This window comes from Homo sapiens, chromosome X (genome assembly GCF_000001405.40).
Source record: "Homo sapiens chromosome X, GRCh38.p14 Primary Assembly".
Lineage (NCBI taxonomy): Eukaryota > Metazoa > Chordata > Mammalia > Primates > Hominidae > Homo > Homo sapiens.
The window spans coordinates 66015180-66042413 of NC_000023.11; the positions used below are offsets into that span (position 1 = coordinate 66015180).

Consider the following 27234-nt stretch of genomic DNA (forward strand, 5'->3'; position numbering starts at 1 on the left):
CCTTGACCCACAGGCAGAGCCTAGGGCAGCCAGGTGCTTTCTACTCTCTCTCTCTCTGCAGCTTGGAAAGTTAGTGTCTGTTGAAGGTCAGCTGGGAGTTGGTGGAGGCAGGGCAGTGGCCTGCTACTATTGCTGCAGTAGCAGACCCTTTCACAACAGCATTGTTTTGTCATTTTGCATCCAGATTTCCGTTGGCTAACCTCAGTCTTATCTTCCTCATTTCTGTTTCCTGTTGAAGACACCAAGGGCCCTTCAAAACACAGAAGCTTCTTGCTCACGGCAGAAAGCCCAATTCCATCTGGCCCCTGCAGGTTGGCTCAGCACTGGGGAATCAGAGTCCCCTCCATGACCAAGGCACCACTCCACTGACAGGTATGGTATCCATTTGCCCTCTCTTCTTGGATTCTCAAGCTGGGGCAGAGTCCATGGCAGCCAAGGGTGGCTTGGATCTGCCCATCCCATTCTCTTCAGACCCTCCTCAGGGATTAAGGTCAAAGGTGGGAGGAAGAAGGCTTCCATTGGCCTTTTATCCTAGAGGTTCTAATGGAGGGGAAAAGGGGATAGGATATTTTCTATCCAATCAGGATGTTTAGGAGATAGTCACATGGAAGTGGAATGGCCTTTGGACCCAGGAGTCAGGAAACCTGAGTAGCAGTCCTGGTTTTACCATTTACCCAATGTGTATCTTTGGGTAAGTCCTTTCTCCAATCTAGGACACAGTTTTTTCACCCCTTTTGCAAAATAAAAAAGTAAAAAGAGGAAAAGAATGATTAGATAGATGCTGTCTAGAGACCCATGGTTATTAGATTCCTAATTTTCATGATTGTCAGCCCTCTGTCAAGAAAGAAGATGAGAGTAATCTTTGCATATGTAACTGTGGGTGGGGCTGAACACATTCAAGAGGAGAGTGCTGGTGGTAATCCATATAGCACTCTCTGAGAGGCATGACTCAAAGATGAAAGCCTCTTTTCTAGTCCAATCTTTGACTCCTAGAGATTCAAAATTGAAAGACTCTTAGAGACTAGGTACATATGGAAGAAACTGAGGTCCAGAAAGAGGAAGAAAGGGACTTGCCCAAAGTCATACAGAGAATCTGTAGCACAGCTGGGTCTGGGCTCCCAGGTCAGTCCTCTTTTTGCTCTATCCTAGGAGGACTGAGACATCAAGCAGCAGGACCTGTCCTGTAACTGACCCAGGACAGGTCCTGCTCATACTAGAGGCAGTCTGGGATTTTTAGGCATGGTCCTGAGGACTTCTTCTTTTCTTCTATTTTTCTTTCAGGTACTTGGCTCACTCTGAGTGTTCAGAGATTCCTAGACACCTACTTACCCCTAATTCTTCTGGTCTATTCCCTCCAATTCCCTCCATAAAAACTGACCCATCCTTTGCATCAACAATAGTGGCTTGATGACGCTCTTCAGTAGAGGATTTTGCATTTCATATGGGGAAAAATGATGTTATTCTAAGTAATATAACAGACCAAGAGAAGAGCTTTCAAATTCCCTTAATATCATCCCATATAGATATTTATGTCTTCTTTCTATGGGTCTGGTGAACATTTCTCAACTGAATGTGATTTTCTTACATACACTCCATTGGAGAGGCATACCAGTCTAGTTTCAGCTCAACCACTAACTCCTTCCATTAATACTGAAGCAATGTTGTCTATAAGGCTCCACAAATTTCAAAGTACTAATAATTTTTAGCCCCTTTCATGCCTCCTTTCCAGCCTTTCTGGAGGTGAATAAAGTCAGAAAGTGCATTCAAAAGGCTGTGAACACCTCCAGCTTATCTAGGTCTTCTTACTGGAGCTGACAGCCAATGAGTGTAATGATACAAAAAAGGTAACAATCCATTTCTTTTTCTCCTGCCATCCCCAACTCAGACTCTGTTAATCAGCTTGCTTGGCTGGCCTCCAACCATAGGTCCAGGGGCTGAGACAAGGTCCTTTTGAGCTCCTATGTGGGAGGCTCTGGAAAGCTTAGCAACACTTTCCAACAACTTTGCCAGGTAAGTAGGTAAGTCTCCTTGTTCTCATTTCCAGAGAAGACAACTGAAACCCAAAGAAAGACTTGCCCAAGCCATGATTGGCTAGTTGATGGCCAAGACAGCATTAGAACACAAGTTTGTCGATTCTGTCATGCCATATTTGGTGACCATGACTGCTGCTTTTGCTGCTGGGTGGATTAGGCTGAATTGGGTAGGTAGAAAAGGAAGTGAGGGAGTGAAAGAGCTTTAGTTTTGAGATGACTGCCAGAACTTAAATTGAAGGAGTATGTTACCTTCTTAACATTCAATTAAAAGAATAGAGCAAGAAAAGACACTGATTGTTTTCTTGCTGAAAGACAAGGCTGAATCCCTCTGTCTTACCTGGGCTGGGACAGGGCTTTCCGGCCTCATGGGGGCAGTTTACCATTTCTGGTAACCTTGTGATGTTTGCCACTTTTCATGACAATATTTAATGTAGACCAGCTACCTGCTCACAGATCAACTGCCACAGCTGGTAAGGGCAGTAATTTGACACCAGCAACCTGGGATTTTTAGCAACAGGATCTGATTGTTGCCAAGGGAATTCTCCCAGAAGTTTCAGACCTGACCCTGCTCCTGGCAGCTTCCTTATTGCCCTGGTGGCTTGTGGGTTCAGTGATCCCAAATGTTGCATTACAAAGCTATTGCCTGTTTTTGCCCTCTTTGTTGATGTGTCTTCCCTTTCCCAGAGGGATATACAGAGAAGGGAGGCAAAATAACCAATGAGGAAAGCTGTATAAGGCATACTGCTGAACTGTAAAAAATTTATTGTATAAACTTTACAAGTCTCCTCCCCAACAGGAGCCTTTGTTATCTCATTTATAACCTAAGTGAGTGAGACTAGATGATCTTTAAGGGCACTTTAATAGCTGCCATTCTTGAGTCCCTATGGGACAAGAGGATCATGTTAGGCAAGGCTGAGACCACAAGAAATCAATGTCACACCTGTCCAGATCCTGCTAAATCAATTGCCAATAGCTCTTTCTTTCATTTTGGTCACACAACCACTACTTTTTGAGCATTTGTTATGTATTGAATACTGAACCAAAGGCTTTACATGCATTATCTCCTGTCATTCTCACAATAACCTTATGAGGTAGGTATTATACTTACATACATTTTGTGGGTGTAGAAAACTTGAGCTCAGAGAGGTGAAATGATGTATCCAAGGTTGCCTAACTAGCTAATGGAAGAACTAGGATTTAAGCTCATGTTTAACCTCAAAGCCTATGTGCATAACCACAACACTGAAAACACAGCTTGGGAGAATTGAGAAGAGGGAGCAAGGATGCTGACTCTAGGGTCTGGTACTTTCCTCAAGTCAGGGAGGCAGGATGATGACCAAATTTTCCCCTCTCTGCTGCATAGAGGAACCCACTGAAGCTTGGGACCCCTAGAAATGCCATAGCTACAGGACTCAGGCCTGATGAGCTTCCAGCTGAGCACTGGGTGTCACTCGGGCTTTACCTGCTTATCTTCAGGATCTCTCTTCTGGTTAGGAACCCTATGCCTATTTTGCTCACTTCCCTATTCTGGTGCTTTGGTTGGTCCTTTGAGCAAGATCCCCGGGGCTAAGGGTGTGACTTCATCATTCCTTTCTCTCTCTTTCCCTCTAGGGTCACATCTCCCAGGAAGATCTCACTTCCCCACAGAAGCTCTTGGCCTGGCCTCCTGCAGTGCCACGCTCCGTGTATTTGACAAGCTGAGTTGGACACTCCATGTGGTAGAGTGTCAGTTTGTCAAATACCCCAAGTGCGGCACATGCTTACCAGCTCTAGGCCAGGGCAGATGGGATATGACGAATGGACTGCCAGCTGGATACAAGGATGCTCACCAAGCACCAAGTTCTCACAAGTTATTTTATGTGACTTTGCAGGAACTGAGGCATTATATCTGAGGACACCAGGGGAAAAGTGTGGCATCTCAGGGAAATACAGCCCTGGGCTGTGTCTACACACACCATGAGAGTGCTGATGGGGGCGCAATAGTCTTGAAAATGTATAAAGTGTCCAGGAATGGAAGTGCTCTTTGATTCATTATTATTTTCTTCCTTCATATTCCCCTCCCAGAGTCTCCTATCTAGGACATCAGCATTCTCACACAAGCCTAATGGCTTATCTGAGTAAGCAGGGCTTAGAAATTCACTTTCTTGATACTCAGTCTTGCCTTCTAAACACTCCTTGATCTTGCCTACCTCTCCCCTTTTCCACATGTCTTTTCCTGTAGGAACACTTTCTCCATTTATTCCTGCCTATCCAATTCTTCCCTATATTTCCTGGACCAGCTAAAGTCCAGTGTTTCCAGAGACTTTTGAAAGTCAACTTACACTTTTTCCTTCTTCATTCACAAAGCTCTTCTTCCCTGGGCCCTGGTATGTATGCCTTTCTCTCCTACTGTCTAATAGCACCTCGTAAATTGTCAATGAACTTTTCTAAGGGGTATTCTTGAATTCCCAACTAGATTGTGAGCTTCTGGAAGACAAGGCTATGTCTTTGATTGTTGTCTCCCCTACCACAGCCCAGTACTTTAGTTACAGAAAATAATAAATATTTACTGATTGATTGACTTTCCTCTTGTCCACTAGCTTTAGGTTTGGGGGCCAAATTCTACCCTGGATTTTGAAAAATTCAAACTGTGAACACCACAATGTTATAGAGCATATGAGGTAGTAGCCAGCATGAAGGATGTTTTCTTCCTGAGAAACAGTGTCAAGGGCTGGAGGAAGAGGGCAAAATAGCAGACTCAGAGGGCAAATAAATTTTGGTATTACTTGGTCACACAAGGTTATACAGGTGTTTTCTTGTAGGATTTTTCAGAGCCTTTAATAGTCTAATGTTGCATTGAGAATCTCAAAGAGGAAACCATAGAATGAGGCATTTGCCATACCTATCTGATCATGAATTTTCTTTTCCCCCACAGCCTTCTCCTGTGTCAATGTCCAATGAAGCACGATTTGGGAAACTGTCCTAGAGAAACTTTATACCTTCCCGCTCTTCTGGAGATCTTTTCCTCTTTTCATTCATCTACTTTCCCCAACCAGCCATCTGCCTAAGAAAGGTCACATGTTATCATCTCATTTTTGTTTAGCCTCTGCAGCTGTGGACTATCTTTATTACATAGGAATTCTTTACTAGCTTGTCCTGTATTTAAAAATATTCTAAGTTTTGAGGCAAAGAAGATCCAGATGCTGCAATAAATATATGCACTGAGGAGTTCACAGGCCTGACTTTTGGTCTCCTTTCTACCACTAACTGTGTTTTTGTTCCTCTCTGAGCTTCATTTTCTCATCTCCAATACGGAAGTATTAGAATCAGTGATCTCTAGGCTCTTTAAGATTAATGACTTTGAGATATCCCTGGGAGTCCTTAGCTCTTATGGAGCAGCGTCCCTGGATGTGTGGCTCCTTTTACCAGTGAAAATGCAACCAGGATTCTCTTCCCAACACCTAAAACTCACTTTTTCTATGGGTAGTAGGGAAAGATAATGGGTATTTTCAAAGGCTGTAGGGTCTGGACGCAGAGTTGTTTCATGAAGGAAGTTGGGGTTTCCACTGGGTGGAGGCCCTATTTCAGAGGCTTGTAAGCACGATGGGGAAGAAAGAGTTGTTCCTTTCGCCAACTAGGAGAAGCTAGCGTCTGGAATGAGGAAAATGTTGAGGTTTTTACCCTGGATTTGGCATGTTGGGTGGCGGTGAAGTGGAGGACTCCTTTTTGTTACTTTCGTGTACTATTTTGACTTCTGTAATCATTGCAAAAGGGGAGCAGCTCCTTGTGAAACATGAGCTGACCTAGGGGCTGCATGGGAACCAGAAATAGCAACATGGCAGCTTCCTTGAAGAGTGCAGAAGTTGATTTGACATTAATTACATCGAGAAAATAAAACTGTGTCAACCTGGGTCAGAACAGGTCCTCACAGCGGAGCCTGATTTAAAGGTGTAGGAACTTATGTACACATACAAACTCTCTCTCTCTCTCTCTGTCGTGCGCACACACACACACACACACACACACACACTCCTAGCCCTATTCCTCCTTGAAGAGAAAGGCTTTCTTGCTCTTATCCCCACCTCACATTGTAAGAAGGGGCCAGGAGCTAAAGAAGATAACATATGAAAAATGCAACTACCCCCAGGATTTTAAGATTCAAAGAAGTGGAAATCCTTGGGAGTGGTGCATCCATACTTGGGAAAGAAGGAAATCCCTTCATCTCTGCATTCATAGTCCCCTGAGACAGAAAGACTTTTTCTTTCTTAGGCTTCCAGTTGATGTGGGAAGAATCATCCAGGTGGACCTGGCAGGATGACAGGTTGGGTAATGGAAGCCAGGGGAGTACTGTTTAATCAAGTATTCACTGTTCTCCAGCTGGGCTTACCAGTGGAGTGAAGTAGGAGTGGCATGTGTGGGAAGGGGAAAGACCAAAAAAGCAAAAGTGACATCCATATTCTCGGGCCCCAGCCATCTTAACTAGTCTCACTTTAATTACTTTTAGTAGGTCCTACCATACTGTGAGAGAAGACCAACACAACTGAAGTTGCTGTTATGATTAGATATTTATTGAGCACCAGGAGAGAGTCAGAACATTAGACTTATAGTGGAGGAGCAGAACTGAACCCTGGCCTGTGAAATAACAATTTCAATTAAAAGCTGTCTGGCCCTGAAGAAAGAGAAATGATCCTGGATATAGCTGGTCCTCTGAGCTGGCAGAGCTGAGCCTCCCTCGGGTCTTCTGGTGGCAAGATGCCAAAGTTGAATAGTGTCTGTAGGCATGATGACCAAGTCCTAGTGCTATGGGCATCTTCCCTCTGGTATTTAGAGAGGAGTACCAGAAGCCCCCGGCAGAGATACTAGAAGGGCCCAGAGCCAAATCCAGCAGCTGGCTTACTTGAGATGCATCTGGCAAATTCCAGGGCAAAGCCAGTGACTCCCAGCGGCTCCAGTGTTGGTAGGCGGACACTTTGGGCTATCCAGGAAGAGAGGTAGCAGGGAAGAAGGCCATGCAGAAGGCAAGGACTGACTAGGCAATTATGTCAGCAGATCCTGGCCTAATGGGGCATTTTTAACAGACACTTTTGCCCTCAGTGGCCAGAAACTCATAATCCAGAGGAACTGTGTCCAGCAGGCGGGCGTAGTTGCCATTGATCTGGGCGATGATCTGGTACTCCTGTCCTATGCAGGGCTCATCAGAGTAGTTGTTGCCCAGATTCTGGGAAGTTGGCTCATCACTGGAGCAGCCACTTGCGAAGATGGCCACCCTCATGGTTTCTCCAGAGTCGTTGGCCTCTCTGGCATGTGCCCTATGGCCCAAGAGCCCACCACCCATAAGAAGGGACTTGGGGCTGTGGTCCTGGTTTCCCACCCTTCTGCCTCAATTCTTGCCAATTAATTATCAGGATCCTACCACCCAGGGATTCTGGAAGCAGAAGGCAGATGGATCTAAATTATCCTTTGTGTTCAGAGGGCCAAAACAACCTCAGAAGGTGCCTGAGAGAGGGAAGGCAGCTATGTCCTGACCCTGAAGGCCTCCGGCCTTAGGATTGGGTCTGTGCCACACCCCCCTTCCTCCACATTTCCTGCCAGTAATCAAAATTGAGGGCAGGGACGGGGTCAAAAATGGAAGAGGAGAGACTTTCTTACCTGGCTGCTTCGTAGACATGCTCTAGAAAAAAAGGAGGAATCATGTCAGAAGTTTTCATGGCAAGTGGACAAAGGTCAATCATGGATCCTGGGTACCAGTCAAAAGATGAGGGAAGGGTACAGAGGAGGGGATTTTAATATGTCTTAGCTTTCCAACAACTGGGAGGTATTGGGGAGGTGAATTGAAACACAGAGATGCAAATTTATCAGGTAAAAGAAGGGGAAGCACATTTGGTCACTATCCTTTTTGTCATCTTGGACTCAGGATATTGGGCTGGAGCAGTTTCTCGGTATGGGTTGGGGGAGGGCACTAGAACTGGACTTGCTCTTTACCCAGGAATCTCCCCCAAGGATCCCCAGAGAGTCCTTGTGGGAAACTTGACTGTCAGGCCACATACCAGGAAGAAGGGACTGGATTAGCCTGATGCTGATGGCCGTGACCCAAGACATTCCCAAATGCACTCACCCCCACTATATACCCAGGAAAAACCATGGTATTGGTTACCATTGCCCCCTAGTGTCTGTGGAGGAGGAGTGTCCTATATTCCGTACAGGCTCAAAGGCTTAGGTTGGTGCAAAGACAGATATTTCTTTGTACTGCCCTCTAGGTGCTTATAATTTTTCAGGGATGCAACTGGAAATGCAAGCATTAAATGACAACAAAGTAAACAAGGGAAGCCACAGGACTTCTGCCTTATGGTAGAGCCCTGCATTTCTGTGTCTTACTCGCCCATTGGCCTATGAGCACCTGTACCGCAAGGGTCGTGTCTTTTTCATCTTAATATGCTCAGCACCTGTCACACAATAGGTGCTCAGTAATTATGTTAAATTAAATTGATGCTCTGAGGCTGTCTCCCTTATACAGAGATAGGAAAGAGGAATTTTTGGAAATGAGACTAGGTATAAGGAAGTGGTGGGTTGAGAAAATTGGCTAGACCCACATCACAGAGAGCCTTGAATAGAATGCTACATTTTGACCTTTATCCCCTGGGCCATAAGAAGCCATGGAAGGTTTTTGAGAGAGAAACAATTTAATGTGGTTACCGCTTATGCCCAGCCTCATCAAGGCTATATGCAAATGCTTTCATTTTAGTGCCCCTGGGGTTTGTAGTCATGTGCTATCAAGTTCAGCCTCATGGTGATAAACATGCTAACTGGCAAAAGCCAGAGCTTATAATTGAAACCTGGGAGAAGGAGATACTCAAGGCTCCCTTCTGGTGATGGAAATCCATCAGATCCATGGTAGTAACCAGGCTATTTGGGAGTAAGAGATACTACAGAGAATAAGACAAATTGATGCTAGGCAACATGACTAGTGCACTGGGCATTGAGAGACAGCTAGTATTTTTTTCTTTTAGAAACAAGCATCCCAATTTTTTTCCTCCTCGGTTGGTTCATAGTTTTTAAATGGCTCTGACAACTGTGCTGTCATTATGCCACTTCCATGCTTGAAAAATTTGGTAAATTTAGTGCCCTTGCAAGGCCTAGTGAAGAAAGTCCAAATTATTTAACCTGGCATTTAAGGCCTTCTATAATCAGGAATAAGCTTTCATTTCCCACTGTACTTCCCTGTTGCCCATCTACAGAAATTTTCTTTATTGATGACCCCACTCTCAGTTGTCTTTTAGGCCCTAACAACTATGCTGATGTAGTTCTCTCTTCCTGAAATACTGTCTCCTTACAACTTGTTTTCATCCTCCAAAATGTGGTCTAAGATATTCTTCCTTCTGAAATCCCTTGCTAATTACCCAAGCCTTAAATTACTCTCTTCTCCTCTGGATCCCTTTAGCATTAATTGTCTTCTCTAGTTTTTGAGCTCATAGCCTCTATTGCTATGTATTGTCATTGATAAATTCCATGTTTCTACCTTGAATCTCCTAAATAAATTGTGAGCAACTTGAGGCCAGGGATTGTGACTTCTCCTTCTCTTGCATCATTACAAGATGACTCGTTAGAAAGATGGCTGTACTTCACTGAGTACCAAAGCCTAGTGCATTTAGTTCTGTAAGTCTTATGCCATTGTTTGCTCGAACATCTGCCTCCCTGCACCCCAACCTTAACTCCCAAACTAGGCTGGGAGCTTCTTGAAGTGCCTAACACAATGCCTGATACAGAATTTAGGCTCAAGTATACTGACAGAAAGAACAAATGAGCCAAAGCCACCTTCTCATATTCATCACTAACCTTGTTGGGATGTCTTCCGACAGAGCATGATATAGGCCATGGTAAAAACCACCATACAGCACAAGGAGATGATGAGGATGATGGCAAAGACAGGCAGGCTCTTTCCTAGAGGGTAAAACAAGATCAAGTGGTATTTGATTGAAAATAAGGCCAGAAACAAAAACTCTAAGAAACAGCCTAGACTAAGCCAGGCCTTTTTCTTTTTCATTTTCCATATTCTCCTAACCTTCTTAGCTAGCCAGAGAGAAAAAACTCCAGTCCCATGAGAAAGACTTGAGAAAGAGATGCCATGTGTAAACAGGTTCTTCCAGACTCACTGGTGGGCTGATTGGCCTGGGCATTTGAGCTAGTTGTCTATGCTTTCTATAGGGCCAAGACAGAAGGTTTTCACCTTCCCTTAGAAAAAAGAAAATAATATCCTGACTTTCCAGCTTCACCAAAAATGCTACATACCTTATTAAGATTCTGGTCAGTTACTTCTAGCCACAAAGATTCTTCCCATCACACGCTCTGGTCAAGTCCCCAGCTTCCTTCTTTCTCAAAACATATTTCCACTGAGCCACTTGAGACACATATTCCCATTATGCCTAAAAGCTGAAAGAATCAACTGGACTTGGCTTCCAGTCCTAGATCTGTTATTTACTTTCTGTATGACTATGGTAGGCAGAATAATGGTCCTCTAAAGATATTCACATCCAAATTCCTGGAACCTGTCAGTATGTTAGTTTACATAGTAAAAAGGAACAGAGATTTGAGAATGCTACATTGTTAGTTTTGAAAATGGAGGAAGGGGGCCATGAGCCAAAGAACGTGGGTAGCTTCTAGAAGCCAGAAAAGAAAGACAAGGAAATTAATTCTTCTCCAAACCCTCCAAAGGGAACATAGCCTTGCTGACTGACATTTTGATTTTAGCTCAGTGATAATTGTGTCAGACTTATTTCCAGAAGTGGAAGATAATATATTTATGCTGTTTTAAGATACTAGGTTTGGGGTAAGTTTTTACAGCAGCCATGGAAAAATGAATACAGTGACCTTAGACAAAACTTTGACTGTCACTAGGCCTTAGTTACCCCATAAGTTCAATGAAAAGATTGGATGATGTCTAAAGCACTTTTAGCTATAATATTCTGAATCTAAGATGCTAGGTCAGGGGGGATAGAGAGGCGTGAGGAAAGGAACCTCAGTGTACTTAGGATTTGTTGCTGCAACTGGCTTGTTTTCATGAGACTCTAAGATATCGTGTCCTAGGAATCCAGTATTTGTGGTCCTCAGAGTGTCTTGTTGGGACTGAGAGAGCTCAAGTTATAAGCTGGTACAAATCGAAGAAATATTCTCTTTTGAAGAGAGTCAAGTACTAAAAAACTTGGTAGAGAAAATAGGGCGCAGACCCAACATCTAATAACTTTGCCCAAGGTTATTTTCTCATTTTTCCAAACCAACTCCCTATGAGGCAATTTCTAACTTCTCTTCTCCCAGTAGATGTTCTTCTCGGAGAGGAACGGAGCTATGGAAATCTTGAAGCCAAAGATGGCAATGCAAATGTGGAACATAAAACAGGTTTGAGTGCTGCCAAGGGATAGCCAAAAAACTCTGCAATCAGGAATGGAGAGTTACAAAGAGCATTTGGAAGTCCACTCTCTCAATTATACACAGGCAGAGAATGAGTACCAGGAGTGATAGTTATCAAACTATTTAATTCCAACCAGTCACAACAGATGCCTACTGTAGACTTGGAGTCTTAGAGATTCCTTGGTATACCTTTTGTTGCATGACCATGGGGGTGGTCTAGAGAGTTCTGAGGAATGGGACAAGGCAGCCCCAGGTAATAATGGAGGGCTCAGGGGTTAAGGGGAGCAGCTAATTATCAATTGGTGTGAGAGTGTTCTATTATTTCAACAGTCAATGTAGTCATGTGAAGGCATACCAACTGACTATCAGATGCAGGTGAAACACAAAAGATTTATTTGGGATTTGAATCTCTGAGACCCTGACTTGGGAATTTTCAAGGCTTTGGAGGAATCAGAAATCAGCTTCAAGCGGCTTGAAGAGCCCTGGTTAAGAGCTCAAGCAATGACACTCAGCCATTATCCTTACCTGGTTGAGGTCATGATGTCATAATGTCCCTATCCATATTCTTGCTCAGAATGTTTGGAAAGCATATTACTATGACAACAGAGAACTAAATAAAGGGCACATTTATCACTCCCCTTAACCTCACTCTGACTTTGCTCATCTCTGGATCTGTATCTCTCTCTCTACATCCTACCCACTTTACCCATCCTCAGTGCCCTTGACCATTGCTTGGCACATAGCAGGTAATGATTTGCAGATTTCAATGCTGTAGAACAGTGTGCATAAGGGAAAGTTTTGGTCACAAAGCTTAGAGTCAAGAAGAAAAGATAGAAATCCTGACAATATTCCTACCTGGCCCAGCACTGGTCTCTCCAAGGTAGCCATCCATGTCAGTGGTCCAGTCCCAGGACTGCTTCACTGTAGATGTTGCTATGAATATAGAGAATAGGGTCAGAGATGTCTCTCTTCTTTCAAAAAGTTGAGAGATAGGAGATGGTTGCAAAGGTTGGAGTCCTTCCCTGGCCATTTGTGCTGTACTTTCCAGGGTACCTGACCATGTTATCAACCACTAGTACCATGAGATAAGGCATCTTCATTTCTTACTGTTAGGTGTGGGCAGTGAGAAGAATTCCCATCGAGGGGAGGTAATGTACCCAAAGTCACACAGCAAGTCAAACTAGGAGCAGAATAGAATTTAGTGTTCTTGTTTTTTGTATTTCCAATGGGAGTAATTCTAACCCTCTCTTTCCTTTTGCCTCAGAAGTTTTCACAAAAAAAGAGTATATATTCATCATTGTTACCTTTCTTTTGTTTCCATTCCTTTACTGCTATGTTCTCTCTGAGGAACCAAGTGACTGTTTATTAGCCATTCCATGGCATTGTGATTCCTTTCTTGGCTACGATGACACCATTTTGAACCTCTACTACTTCCTCAGACTCTAGCAAAACTCACCTTTCAAGGGGTATGTCATGGTTGTAGGTGCCTCAGTCTTGGTCTTGAGTAGCTTTGAGGAGTCTGCAAGGAAAAGGGAACCGATTGAAGGGACCTGGTACCCTTTGGTGAATAGTTTAATGCCCTAGGGAAATAGGAAGTAAGTAAAGGCCATTCAGGTCCATACTTGGACCTGCCTCAACACTTCTGTCATGATGCTGGTAAGTCCTGTGTTGCTTGTTCATCTTTCATACATCAATCAAGGACAGAGTTTTTAACCCAGGATTAATAGATCTCGAAGGAACCTGTAGCTAGAGTTCAGAGAGTCAGTCAACTTGGATGGGAAAATATATTTTATTTTTACTAACTTCTAACTGAGACCTAGTAATTAATTCTCTTGAGAGAAACTTGGGAAGTATCATAAAGAAAGTGGCAATGGGTGACATCAGTGAAAATGGTGACATAATAACCTCCAGAAATTTACCCTTTAACAACATCAGTGAAATAATGCAAAATTTGACGTAATCAACTTTTTTTTTTTTTTTTTTTTTTTTTTAGAATTTTGCAAAATAGCCAAAGGTTTGCAGCACCTTAGACAGGATTTATGGAAGAAAAATATCCCAGTTTTGGTAAGAACAGCAAGCTTTGTGCTGTTTTAACTTCTCCTAGTCCCCTTACCCCTTCTACCTCAGAGGTAATCTTGAACATACAACCCCATTCCAGGTGCTGGAGTGAGCCCAACAAACTTCATTTTTGAATAATTGCCATTATTTGGCCTGTCTGGTGGTTCCCTGAAAGACCTGACTCAAAAGACTTGTTTTATTGGTCACCCAGTGCTAAGAGCCTCTCCCCAGGGATGGGGTAGCATTTGTCACACAGCTGCCTGAGGCAATGGATAATAGGCGAGAAAACAAAAAAAACTAACCAAAATAGCCTTAAAAATGGTTGAGGAATAAGATTTCCATAGGGATTTTGAAGAGTTCTGACACAGTTCTGGGAAACTAGGAGGCCACACACAAGCACAGGGCCATGTACCTGCTCAGAAAAGACATGAGAAAACCATAAGCTTCTCCCTCTTGCTAGCAGAGGAAACAGCATGCTCCGTTTTAGATGTGGCGAAACATATTAGTAGATAAGTCTGGATAGGTAGGCTGAAAACAGACTAAAAGGGTTTGGGCTTTGTTCTTTAGTTGGAAAGATCCATGGGGTGTAACAGAAGGTTACACCTTTTGAGAAAGGTTTACTTCCTTTTGAGAAAGGAAGCAAAAATTGTTCAGTCTATTTTTTTTGGAAATAATTCTGACAACAGTGTGGTAGGATTTTCAAAGGTAAGGCAATAGCATATTTTCCCCATTCATTAACAAATACAGTATTCATCTAGTGTCTAGTGTCTTCTTTGTGCCAGATACTTTGCTGGGCTCTGAAAAACAGCAATGAAGTAGACAGGTAGAATTCTGCACTCTTGAATTTTATAATCTAGTGACATAAAATATATACTCAATAAATATTGAATAAGTTGATGACTTCGTAAGAATGTATGAACATGGGGAGAACATTTAGAAGATGATTGAAATTGTTTTTTAAAAAAGAATATGAGACCATGAGGGTATAGGAAGAGAAAGAAAGAGCCTAATAAGGTATCTGATTCAGTAGGTGAATTCACAGCACTTGGTAATATTGATGATTATTTGACGATGCGAGGTAAAAGAGAAGGAGGAGTCAAAGGTACTGCTATGTTTTCTAACAGGTTTGAGGAACAGGTTTGGTGAGTAAAAGGTACGATCAGTTTTGAACACGCTGAAATTAGAAATGAAGCTGTCCAGAAGGTAACTAGACACTGGGATCTAGCAGTCAGGAAAAAATAAATACAGATAATATTATGGTTGGAGAGTCATCAGACTACAGGTGATATTTGAAGCCACAGAAGTAAATAAAATCTCCTGATAATATAGAAATACATGCAGAGATGAATAAGAATTGAGTCTTTGAGAACATTTACAATTAAGGAGTGAATGAAAAAAGAGCCAACAAAGGTGTCTCAGAAGGATCATTCAGGAAGGTCTTAGAAGAACCAAGATAAGTTGGTGTCATCAATAGCAGTGATTAAAAGAATATTGAGGTGGAAGAAATGGCCAACAGGATCCACTGCTACACAGATGTTGAGGAGGAAAAGTATGAATGGAGAGGTCTTGGGATTTGGTGATATGGAGGTTAATGATGACCCCAAATTACAAAGTTATGTTGTGGTGAATGAATTGAGAGGTTCAGCTGGTGGAAGCTACCTTCGTGAGAAGGTTGGTAGTGAACATAGGAGAGATGAGGTGGCAGATGGAGAGAAAGATTTTTGAAAAATAACATATATATATGTATGTATTAGGCTTGCATACTGACATATATACATATATTATACATGCATATCTATTTGGCTTAGGTAGAGGATAAAGGGTATTGCAGGGCATTGGAGTAGCTGATGTTAAGAGTTCAGGAGGAGGGGCTTGTTGTGGAGAGGAGCAAAGCATACCTTACTCTGAGCCAAGAGGAAATGGATAGGGAAATATCAAGGCAGAGAGGAGGGTAGTTGATAAAATTCACATATGAAGAGGGTCTGGACCTTCTTACAGAGGAAGGAAGTTACCTTATCTTTTAGGAGCAAGGCTGGGGGCCTGAAATAAGGTAGAAATGTGCTGAAAAGCTGCTATGAGGAATGAGACAAAGATAAGCAAATAGACACACGGCATGGGGTCAGGCAGTACATATCGCAGAGCATAAAATTCAAGTGGAGTCAATTCATATCTGTGTTTTGTTTTGTTCGTCAGCAAAGCTCAGCAGTCCAAGAACATGAGCAAAAGCAGGGCCTCCAGAGTCATTCTAGAACTAAAGAACAGTGCAGAGTGAGGTGGAAGGGTGAAAGGGCTGAGAGTTCCGTAGGGCAGAGGTGAAATAGGGGGTCAGACTCAGGGGACAAGGTTGGGTGGACAGGGAGGCAGGTAGAGGTAGCCAGGAAAGATTACGTTGGCTCACAGAGCAGGGAAGAGTGGAAGGCTGAGAATAACTTCCCTGAGCCTCAGTTTTCCTATCTGTCAGTAGGGGGCAATGGCGAGCACTGCTTAACAGCACTGTAATAAGCATTGACTGTGAGAAGGAATAAACAGGAGGGTTTACTGTGAGCAAGTTCTTGCCTAGGTGGTCTGAGAAGTAACTCACAGAAAGGCAAGAATGTTCAATTAGTCTCTTTATGAAGTATACATTCTTGGGCTTTCTGGTCACGCCCTGCCCTCTCTGCTTGACCAGACTGTCAGCTCTTAGAGAACTGGGACACTGTTCATATAACTTTCAGGGCGGACCACTCTTGTTCCTCCCAAAACTAACAAACCATGATCTACAGCACACACATCCTCACTACAGCTTAACTTTGGGAAACAAATTCCTCCAGGCAAACACAAGAGTCTCAAACCAACATCAGTCTCCTAGCCCAAATGGTAATAAGCCATTTGGGCTAGGTTTACGCCCTCTCCTTACACAGAACTATCCTCAGAAGACAATAATTTTCAGATGGTTCTGAGGGCAATTCCCTAAAATCAGTTAGTTTCCAACATGTTTTGGGCAATGGTAACCTTGTTGGGGTGTCTTTCTTTCCAAGGAGATCTCTTGAAAGCTAAGAAAACTCATCTGGACATATCACTGCTGGACTCTTCATTTAAGCCTCAGCTTACAGTCTTTATATGCATAGTTTGTAGTGCTCCCAGGACAGTGCTGTAAGAAATAGTCAGATCTTGATTAACAAGAGCCCATCTTAAAGGATACTTCAACCAGAACTTGTATTTGGGTTTACAATGAAGTGGGGGAGGGAAGTTAAAAGAAAGCATGTAGATATATTAGATCAAGCCTAATCAAACAAGCAAAACAATAACCAAACAAACAGAACACACAAACAAAAAACAACAGCTTTCAAAGGGTGCCCAGGATCTGATATAGATTCAACCATGAGAAACAATCAGACATAGTAGGAAGAGCATGAAATCTGAGTACAAATCCAGATTTATACTTCCTTGCTGTGAGACCATGGGCAAGTAGATTCCCCTTTCTGACTCTGTTTCCTCTTCTGTAAAGTAAGAGTAATGATAACTATCTCATGGGACAGTTGTGGGGATTCAATGAGAAAATGTGTGTCAAGTTATTGTACTTTGTATCTGGCAAATACAATGTGCTAGTAAATCTCTCTTTCCTTTACCGTCTTTATCTACTTAACCTATGGCATGATAGGCAATGTCTCTATCCCTGTTGTCCCCAGTCCAAGTTTTTTTTCTTTGTGATTGTACAACCATTGCCTGCTTGGGATCCTCCTCTCCCAATTCTTCTTTTGCATAAGGGCACCTTTTGAGGTATCTTTGTTTCAAGCTTGTGTGTTAAGATGCTCACCAGGAAAGAGGGCCGCTCACCTTTGACCACAAACTTCACAATGTCGCTGTGCTGCTCAGAGCCAACCTGGCCCTTGGCAGTGCAGAAATAGGAGCCTGAGTCGGCTATCACCGCAGGCTTGAAGAGTAAGGTACTTAGGGTTGCTACTTTGATGGGTTCCTGGTTATTAGTCTGTTGCTTATACCAAATATAACTGATGGGAGGAGAACCCCGAGCCTGGCATTGAAGGCTAATCCTCATTCCCTGGGGCACCGTGAAGCCATAACCGCTGCCAGTTGTCACTGTGGGCTTGGAGACAGAGACTGCAAAGAAAAGACAAGACAGGAAACTCTGGGCAGTCATAAGGATATGGGACCAAAAGGCTGAATCATTCTTGTTGGGCGTAAGGGCATGCATATATCTGCAACTGGAACTAAAGGGGGCTTCTGACTTTGGAGGAAATAAGAAGGAAAGGGCAATACAAATAAAATGGCTTCCTTTGAAGGTAGGTACTTTTTGGTATTACCCGGGGTTTTGGAATACTTGGAAGTAAAAATCAACTGACCTTTAAAATTAATGTAGTTTGTTCTGGGGCTCAAGTAGAGCTTTTGATTACCTGCAGTTGTGGATTATCAGGGCCAGACTTTTGTAAAATTGTCCAGCAAGCAAACTTATCCTGGCTAACCTCTGCCTCCCTTTCCCCAGAGCTTCTCTATCAGCATCTATCTACAAATTAAATGTACTCATTTTTGAGTTGTAAAGCCCAGAGCCCAAGGAGGGTAACTAGTCCATGGATACTGGCATTTCTGGGACACTCGAAGGGATAGAGATTTGCAGGTCAGGAACCCTTCCCAGCACTTCCTAAATTTAACTATGGGAATGCTGACCCTAAGAATCCTCTGCCTGTCCACTTCCTCTGATAAGCACATATACCTGTGGAGAGCCTCTGTATAAACGAAGGCCTCTGGATTTTTCAGGCTTTTCTAGAATTACATCCACTATTGATTCATTGATTATCAGTGCTTTCCTACCCCCATAGTGACTCACGTTTCTGGACACGGAGCTCAGTAATCTTATCTCTCACGACTTGGTTGCCATCAGGAGTCTGCCAGGTGACTTCACACGTGTAGTGGCTCCGGTCATCCATCTCCAGGGTGCTCAATTGGAGGGATACATCTCCTGGAACCTTGTGGCTCACATGCAGGCGGCCCTGGTACTTTGCCTGCTGGATATGGTCTCCAGAAGAGTCACGTAGAAAGATGGTGACAGGGTCTGAGCCACGTTGTACCAGCCACTTCACCAAGACTTGGGTGTAGCCTTGCAGGGGGTCATAGGTGCAGGGAAGATTCACATCCCCTTTCCAAGGTCCTGTTACACTCTCTGGCACTTCCAGGATGGGACGGCCTGAAGAGGCGGAACAGAGGAAAGAAGCAAACGTAGATGGCATACCTACTTGGCAACTAAGGTGACAGTGACAAACCTCAAAAGGTTTCTGAGAAATGCCACTCAACTTTCTTTCTATCACACTTTTGTGTACCTGTGCCCTTTTGCTCTTTGCCAGCCTTCTCATCAATCAGAACCAGTCTTCAGAATGAAAGCCTTTAACATTGTTTAGATCTTGTGAGTTTCAAGTCCTTTTTATGTTACTGTCTTGCTATGAAGGTGATCCTAGGTAAGTCACCTTCTTACCGTGGAAGATTCATTTACTTCATCTATAATGTGGAGAGTTTGGGTGGTAGGTGCTCTAGATATTCTATCAAATCTGTCATTCTGCAAATCCATGAAAAAATTTTCTTTTCACATTTTCCAAAAGAGATGTGGAAGCAAAAATGCTAAGCATTTGGGTCTGGACTATTTCATTTTGTGTAAATTTGCACCTGGAGAAAGGTGGAGGCTTTTGAGATCAGCAAGAAAGGGCCCTCTGCCCTGTTATCTTCTCTTGTTCCCTTAGAAATCCTCAGTGAGTGGGGTCCCAACCCTAAGATGTTCTCTGGAAGACAGGCAAAAGGAAATACTGAGGGTGGAACCAAGTGTGAGGAAGAAGTCTGGATACACATTCCTGTTTAACAAAATCATTAGCTATTGTTAAATTCAAAACCTGCACTTTGTAAACCTGACTTTTTTTCTGATTTCTTTTGTTTATTTTCCTTTTGGTTTCTCTTAGTTCTTAGCAAGGATACATAGGAAAATTTCATCTTGAGGGGGAAAAGATTGCATCCATTTTTGGTCTAGAGAGGAAAAGGTTCTGAGTGAAATCCTGAAGCTGGCTGTAGTAGGGGTGGTGATAGAAGCAATGGGAGATTGCTCCTTGGCGTGTTTGAGAAGGAAACCCTTGGGGATGGGGGTGGGGGTGGGGAAGGAGGTGGGGATGTTGAAACAGCCATTGCCTCCCATCAGAATTTTCCATCCATAAGCTCTTATTTAGAAGATTTTTTGTTTTATTTAGCTGGGGCCAGGAGTGTGGGGTGGGTATATTTAGGCAATATATTCATGTCTCTCCTAAGAGAGGTGGTTTCAAAGATATGAGGTATTCCTGAATAAAAGTCTTTTATTGAGCCTAGAAATCCCAGTATTCAGTCAAGCGGATGGAAGATGACATCTTTTGGATGGGTTGAGTGTATGCGTTCTAACTCCCAGAATATACTGTCCAGCATCAGGACTTCTGTTAATAGAGATATAAAATCAAGCCTCTAGCCTGTGCCCTCACCAGGGACCCTTAGAACATCAATAGCATATTTTAGTCAAGAAAAAGCCCTTGAGTAGAAAAGAATAAATAACATAAGTCCATGTTGCTAGATCCACTACATACTCTCTGGAATGCTTCGAATTTGGCAGAGAGCAGAACTCAGACCTACGAATGGGAATACAAGAGGGGCAGATTTTGGTTTGCTCTATTTTCCTAATTCTATTTCTTTTTATGTTATTCTTGTCTGCTTTTCACATCGCAGAACAGATGGTTTGCCTTAGAACGAACTTTGTGATTAATCAGAGCTGTCTATGGATGGATTAAACTGTCTGGGGGAAGTTCTAGGCTTTGTTTGGGTCTTAGCCTTGCTCTTTAAGGTCCCTTCTAATCTTAGGTGGTCAAGTGTTAATAGGCTATAATAGAAATAGAAGTTATGTAATTATAGGTTCCAGCTGGTGGTGAATTTTCACCAGGTAGTGGGTTTCACTGTGCCATAGATAGTTCACACCTCCATGTGATTGCAGATACAGCTTTTCATTATCATGGACTCACATGCCCATACATATTTTTGGCCACATGCAAGCACAAACATACCATGCTTAAACCCCATGAAAACTATCTGAGCCTCTTGGTTTAATAGGCTATTTCCCATTAATCTTCCTCTGGACTTTCCCAATGTCCCTCCTCTTCTCTGAAAAGCATTCTCACATTCCCCTCTTGGGCAACAAAGCAGCATTCTGCTGTGAGTTGAAAATGCCTTTGTCTATGCATATGCAGGTCTTCCTTCTGACCTTAGGGGAGCTGAAAGGCCTGGGTTGTGTTTTTCCTCCCTGGGAATTTGCTGGAAATTCTCACAAAGCTCAGTCTGGCCTATCAAGAAAATTGCTAGATAGTCTCAATTTCTCAGTTTTGAAAATCACTTCTGGAAGTAGGTCAGGCTTAACTCCTCCATCCCAGAATGAATAGGACAGAGTTGGTAACTAGACTTCCCAAAATGGCATGTTTTTTCCCCTTTTACTTTTTTTTTCCTCTCCCTTCTTCCTCCTTTATTTCTTCCACTCATTGTTCCATTATGCTTCCGTTCCTTTTTTCTTCCTTCTTCTTTTTCTTATTCTTATCTCCTCTTCCTCCTCCTGCTTCATTAGTTGCATAAAGAGACTGGATTATAGGTACAGGACATCACAAGAAAAATGACATTGTACTATTCCTCATGTTTTCTGATCTCCAAAGTGAAGTAAACCACAATACCACTGACTTGTACCTTCTACCTTTCCTTGTAGTTCCCCTAGAATCAAGTAGGAGCCCCTAATGAGAGCAGGAGGGTAATGAAGGACTGTATGATGTAGTAGGAATAACACTGATCTAAGCGCAAGGTCTGCCTTACCACATATCTCTCTGTGTGACCTTGGGTAAATTACTAAACCTATCTGAACTTTGAGTCACTATCAGTAAAGTGGAAGTAATAATAAAGGAAGTAATATTATAATATAATAAAAATATAATATAATATATTTATAATATAGATAATATTTTAATAATATAATATATAATATAATATAATATATATAATACGATATATTATTAATATATTATAATTATATAATATATATATTATATAATTATAATATATTAATAATATATAATATAATATAATATATATTATATTATATTATATATAATATAATATATTATATAATATTATATATTATTATATATATAATATGTTATATAATATATTATATATATAATAATATATTATATTATATATTATATTATATATTTTATTATATAATATATTATATGATATATTATATTATATGATATATTATATGATATATTATATTATATTATATAATATATAATATAATATATCATATAATATAATATATCATATAATATATCATATAATATAATATATAATGTAATATAATATATCATATAATATATATTATATAATAATATAATATATCATATAATATATATTATATAATAATATAATATAATATAAAATATTATATAATAATATAATATAATATATAATATATATTATATAATAATATAATATAATATATAATATATAATATATAATAATATAATATAATATATAATATATATTATATAATAATATAATATAATATATAATATATATTATATAATAATATAATATAATATATAATATATATTATATAATAATATAATATATAATATATATTATATAATAATATAATATAATATATAATATATATTATATAATAATATAATATAATATATAATATATATTATGTAATAATATTAATATATAATATATATCATATAATAATATAATATATAATATAATTATATAATAATATAATATATATAATAATTATATAATACAATATATAATATATATTATATAATAATAATATAATATAATATATTCATAATATATTATATTATATTATATATTTATATACTTATTATATTATATTACTTCCTTTATTATTACTTCCACTTTACTGATAATTACTTATATATAATATATAATAATTATATAATTATTACTGATAATTACTTATATATAATATATAACATTATATTATATTATACTTATTACTGATAAGTATATATACTTATTACTAAGTATATAAACTTATTACTGATACGTATATATACTTATTGCTGATAAGTATATATACTTATTGCTGATAAGTATATATACAGTATTGAGCTTAATGTGGTCCTGAGACCCAGCCTTATAAAAGCAAATGTCTGATGCCTGTGTAATGGCACTGAAGAAAAGAAAGGTTGAATTTACTAGGTGTGTGCTCCTTTATAAGACCCATTCTAGGTCTCTTTCTGAATCCCCTTCCTCCCATCATCACAAAGAGGTTGACATTTTCCATATCTCTATCCCATTCCCCCACATGACTGGCTTCTCTCCCTTTCCTGGAATGCCTCCTGGATGGAGGATTAACTTATATAATAGATGTTTATAAAATGTTTCTGAAATGTTTAAAATGTATATAAAATGTGAATATTAGAAATTTTTTAAATTTTGATTATCTTGACATATCTCTTAGCCCCACAGGAAGAGGCTAGCAGCTTACTCTGGCCGCTACAGGGTTTTTAGCAGTGAAGCTGCAGTCCCACAGAGTTGTCCAGCTGAGAAACCCCTTTAAGACCAGTCAAGTCAACCTCCTCACTGTACAGATGGGCTAGGAACAATGAGGTCCAGGGAGAGGGAAGGTATTATTTGCAGCTCAGCATAACCTGAGCCTGAGGTCTATAGTATAAGATCCTGTGTACAAATGGAAGGCCTGCTTCCAGGTCTGGAAAAGCTCATAGGCTGGGGAAGGAACAAGACACATGAGTGCTCTCTCTCTCTCTCACACACACACACACACACACACACATGAATGCACACACACATACACACACACAAACAAAGGATTTAAATTTAACATTTCTAAAATGCTCCCTCAAGCCCCAGGCTTAAGCCCTAGCTCAAACCAACAGACTTGGAGAAGGTAGAGAGATACATTATAAAACCTGCTAGAGAATGGAAATGTGGTAGTTATAGAAAGAAAAATGTTTTTTCAGGAGCATTAACTCTGCCACTAATGCTCTTTGGCTTGGGGGCAAATTATTTTTTCTCTTGGTTGACTTAATTCAGAGTCTTTTCTAACTCTGAGGTTCCAGAGTGTGATGGGTCACAGAGCCCCAGGATAGGGTAACCTAATCAGAGTCAGCTACGGAAAGCTGGATTCTTTCTGACCTAACAAGTGACACCAAGCTAACACCTATCCAGCCTTTTTCTCTAGGGATGATAGGGAAGCAGCAAAATCCCCCTTTACCCTATATTGGATCTCACTTAGCTGTTACCCAGGTTGAGTTTCCTGAAAATCCATCTCACTTCTCAGGAGTGTAGATGAGGATAGAGCTTCCCAAGCTCCAAGGAAATAATGCCACTATGGAATAGTCCATCCTCCTTTGGGATTTGTATCCAGCCCATAAATAGCCCAGACAAATTGAGCCATGTCTATAGGGAAGTGAGTTATCCCAGGAATGGGTAAGAAACCAAGTCCTATGAAGACCAGTTGAAAAAGCTGGGGCTGTTCAGCTTGGAGGAGAGAAGAGTCAAGGAGACATAGTACTTGTCCTCAGGGCTTTGAAGGGCTATCACAGGGCAAGGAAGCATCTATGTTCTGTGTAGCCCCAAGAAGCAAAGCTGGGGTTTTTGGATGGAAGTCAGAGGGAACTGGATTTAGTTCAACACAAATAAGAACTTTCTAACAGTTGGAGCTGCTCCTGGATGGACTAGATGGTCTGGGGAGGTAGTGAACAGTGAAATCTCAATCACTACTGGATGTTTCTGAGCACTTATTCATGACAATGAAGGGTGGTATAGGTTACTTCTATAGTCCTATCCAACTCTTAGAAAACACTCCTTCTTCGGGGGCTGTATATTTTAACAGAGACCAAAGCTTGGAAGCAGAGTGGTTAAGTCCAATTGTAGAATTTTAGATGAGAGACAGCAGATGGAGGAAAGATTCGGATGTCATTGGGAACCTTCTTGATGCCCCTGAGATACAAGCCCTAGAAAATAATGCAGATGTTTTCCAAGAGAAAAATCCTTTTTCAATTTCTGCCCAAACTTGCCTTCTGGCTTCTTCAGCAGCCTTCAACTACATCCATCCGTTTTGCTCAAGGCTGAGAGAGCCTGCAGAGTTTGGCTGAGAAGACTCACCTGCCCAGTAGGAATAGGCTTTCCATAGTAGACATTAAACACCAACCCTCTAGCCTTTTGCCTAAGCCAGCAATGGCAGCCAGGCCCCCCTTTCTGCCTTACCATAAGTGTCCACTGTTAGGTGCCCCAGGAGTAGCAGGCCCAGTAAGATCCCCATCACAGCCAGAGCTACTTCTGTCCTTTCTTCCAGCCTCCTGCTACCAAAGAGGCTCAAACTTCTGGTGGCCGCCAGCGTCTGTGACTGCTTACTTCCCTTCCTTCCCTATATCTCTCACTCAAACTCCTAGTCCCATCACACATTCCCCTTCCTTCCCTATTTCAGTACAGGTCATGTGGGGTGCCCCCCTTCCCCCACCTCCTTGGGGTTGGAGGTTCCAGGATGAGTGAAGCAATTCTTCCCCCTGCTAGGGTATTGACTTGACTTTCCTTGGAGCCAATGGGGCTTTCTGGTCTTTGATCTCCTAGGCTGTATTTATTTTGAGTCTCCTCCACAAGATTCAGAGGTTGTGGGGGCGACCTTTGGGATGAGTCTTCCCACTCCAGTATGGCGGTGTTTTCCTTTGTGGTGAGCCCAGGGAGAAGAGATCAACTTTGCTGACCTACCCAATTTTCATTAGTTGTACTGTTAACCCTTGCCTGTGCAGCCTATGCAACTGGACAGGGTGTTGGGCCCGGGGTGCTTTTGGGCTTAAGAGTACAAGAGTTTAGTGTATTAAAGGGCTTTCTACACATCAAAGCTTGAATAATTGACAAGCCAATGGATAAGGCTGTTATGGGTGAATATGCCTCATATCTCATATTGGGGAAGCTCTTTGAATCACTTTCTACAATGGCTCCACCTCTCTGATGGTAAGGGAGAATTCATTTTCATTAATGTTCTCCATGCTTTTTCATAAGGAATTTATTTTTTACTTCTTTTAAGGGAAATTTAAGCCTAGCCTCCAGTGCAGCAGCCCATTAGTGGTATGCTGTATTAGGTTGAATTTTTCATTGACTTCCAATTGGTACAGGCCCTTGACCTACAAGAGAGTAATATTATGCCTCCTAGCAAAGCTCAACTGCTCCAGAAATTGCTCCTCTTCACAGGCCCCAGAGTGACTGTAATTTCATCAGCAGTCTAACTAGGTTTGGCACTGCGCTTTGTCTACTAAGCTTTGAAACAATAAGCACTTTCAAAAGCACAAATACATCCCAAAAATTCATACTGCACTGTAAGTAACAGCTAAGCTTAGTTTACTCTTTGATTGGAGGGATAGGAAAGGACTTGGTCAGGGGAGGGAGGAGTTTGTGCAGAGATGGGGAGTGGGAATATAAAGAAACATACTTGCCAAGGGGTGGCTGCATGCAGATGATTTGGAGCTGTGCACGGGCTAAGGAGACATTCCAGCATTTCAGGACACATTATTACATGGAATTCTATCAATCACCTCTGCCTCTAGGGCCCAATCCCCCTTGGCTGGTTGTTCCTTGTTTTTTGAGTACTGCACTCATTCCATCTCACTGGAAATTTCAGCCATTTTTTCCCACCGGGTCCTCACTCAGGAAACCCTGAACTTCACAGAACCCTCCTTTGATATTTTTCAACCAACACCCTATCACCACTACACCACCACCACCGCACAGACACACACACACACACACACACACACACGCACACACATACACACACACACACCCCTCCCCTTCCCCGCTAAAAAGCCCACTGGACAGATGTAAATTTCTGCCTGGCCAGGTGATTGTGTGTTTTGTGCTACCTCTTGCATTTTATTAGGACCTCCTGGATCTGAAGATAAATAAATGTCCTGGGGAGTATGCACAACATTACTTCAAGGCTGGGAAAGACTTCCAGTCTTGCAGTAGGCTCAGTAGCCCTCTTGATTAGTAAAAGAATTGGATGAGAAGTCAGAAACCTGGAGATAAGCCTGGCTCTGTGTCTACTTCATTCTGAGATCTTGAACAAGTCAAATCTCTCTGAACCTCAGCTTCCCTAATTGTAACATGAACATAATTATACTTGATGCTTGTATCTTTTCAGATTTATAAAAATCAAACTATACTATACATACAATAACAACTATATAATGATAGTTGCTATTTAAAATCTTTTACTCTTCCAGTCACTGAATTAAGCACCTTGCATGGGTTATTTCCCTTGGTTCTTACAACCCCTCAGGTGGGTATTATTGCACATACTCTTGTATCTCTCCCTACCACTCTATACTCCCTTACACTACTTTTCTTTTTCATTGTAGAGCCCACATATTTGTTGAATGAATGAATTCAATATATCCCCATTTTACAAATGTGTCTAAAACCCAGAATGGTGAAATCACTTACTTTTATAGAGGGTGCCTAGACAAGATTCAAACTCCTAGCTATATGCCTCCAGAAATGATACTGTTAAGTAACACACTATTCTGCTTCATTCACACCTTTAATGACCACTTCTACAATAGTTCCAGGTCTTTTCTGGATGTTGTGAGGGAGAGAAAAGAAATGTTAGGTATGGTCCCTGTATAAGTGAGATTTTAGTGTAAAGGAAAGACAAACACATATGAACCACTAATACAAG

The 27234-nt window shown here is 41.3% G+C and overlaps 1 protein-coding gene, 1 long non-coding RNA gene and 1 other non-coding gene across 7 annotated transcripts, besides 1 other annotated feature; 2 read left to right on the forward strand and 1 right to left on the reverse strand.

Moving 5' to 3' along the window:
* The first annotated feature begins 281 nt into the window (after nucleotides 1-281).
* MIR223HG (MIR223 host gene) lies at nucleotides 282-5247 on the forward strand. The gene is made up of 3 exons (NR_170299.1): nucleotides 282-372; nucleotides 1886-2010; nucleotides 3645-5247. It is a non-coding gene; the product is annotated as an MIR223 host gene (long non-coding RNA).
* On the forward strand, nucleotides 3691-3800 carry MIR223 (microRNA 223). The gene has a single exon (NR_029637.1). It is a non-coding gene; the product is annotated as a microRNA 223 (primary transcript).
* VSIG4 (V-set and immunoglobulin domain containing 4) lies at nucleotides 6559-24901 on the reverse strand. 5 transcript variants are annotated; one of them, NM_001257403.2, is made up of 8 exons: nucleotides 24765-24901; nucleotides 18295-18651; nucleotides 17289-17570; nucleotides 12871-12933; nucleotides 12270-12347; nucleotides 9846-9950; nucleotides 7662-7683; nucleotides 6559-6987 (listed from the first exon to the last, which is right to left on the reverse strand). In NM_001257403.2, the coding sequence occupies exons 1-8, from the start codon at nucleotides 24817-24819 to the stop codon at nucleotides 6906-6908; spliced, it is 1044 nt and encodes a 347-aa protein (NP_001244332.1). In that variant the 5' UTR covers nucleotides 24820-24901; the 3' UTR covers nucleotides 6559-6905. The 5 variants fall into 5 exon arrangements, with proteins under 5 accessions (NP_001244332.1, NP_009199.1, NP_001093901.1 ...); NM_007268.3 differs by having other exon boundaries at nucleotides 6559-7321; NM_001100431.2 differs by lacking the exon at nucleotides 17289-17570 and having other exon boundaries at nucleotides 6559-7321.
* Nucleotides 17346-18545: an enhancer, noted in NCBI's record as "CDK7 strongly-dependent group 2 enhancer chrX:65252367-65253566 (GRCh37/hg19 assembly coordinates)". NCBI's record gives its function as "activates an origin of replication core promoter dependent on BRD2, BRD4, P300/CBP, MED14 and CDK7 cofactors, with strong dependence on CDK7, by STARR-seq in HCT116 cells {active_cell/tissue: HCT116}" and the evidence as "EXISTENCE:reporter gene assay evidence [ECO:0000049][PMID:35650434]".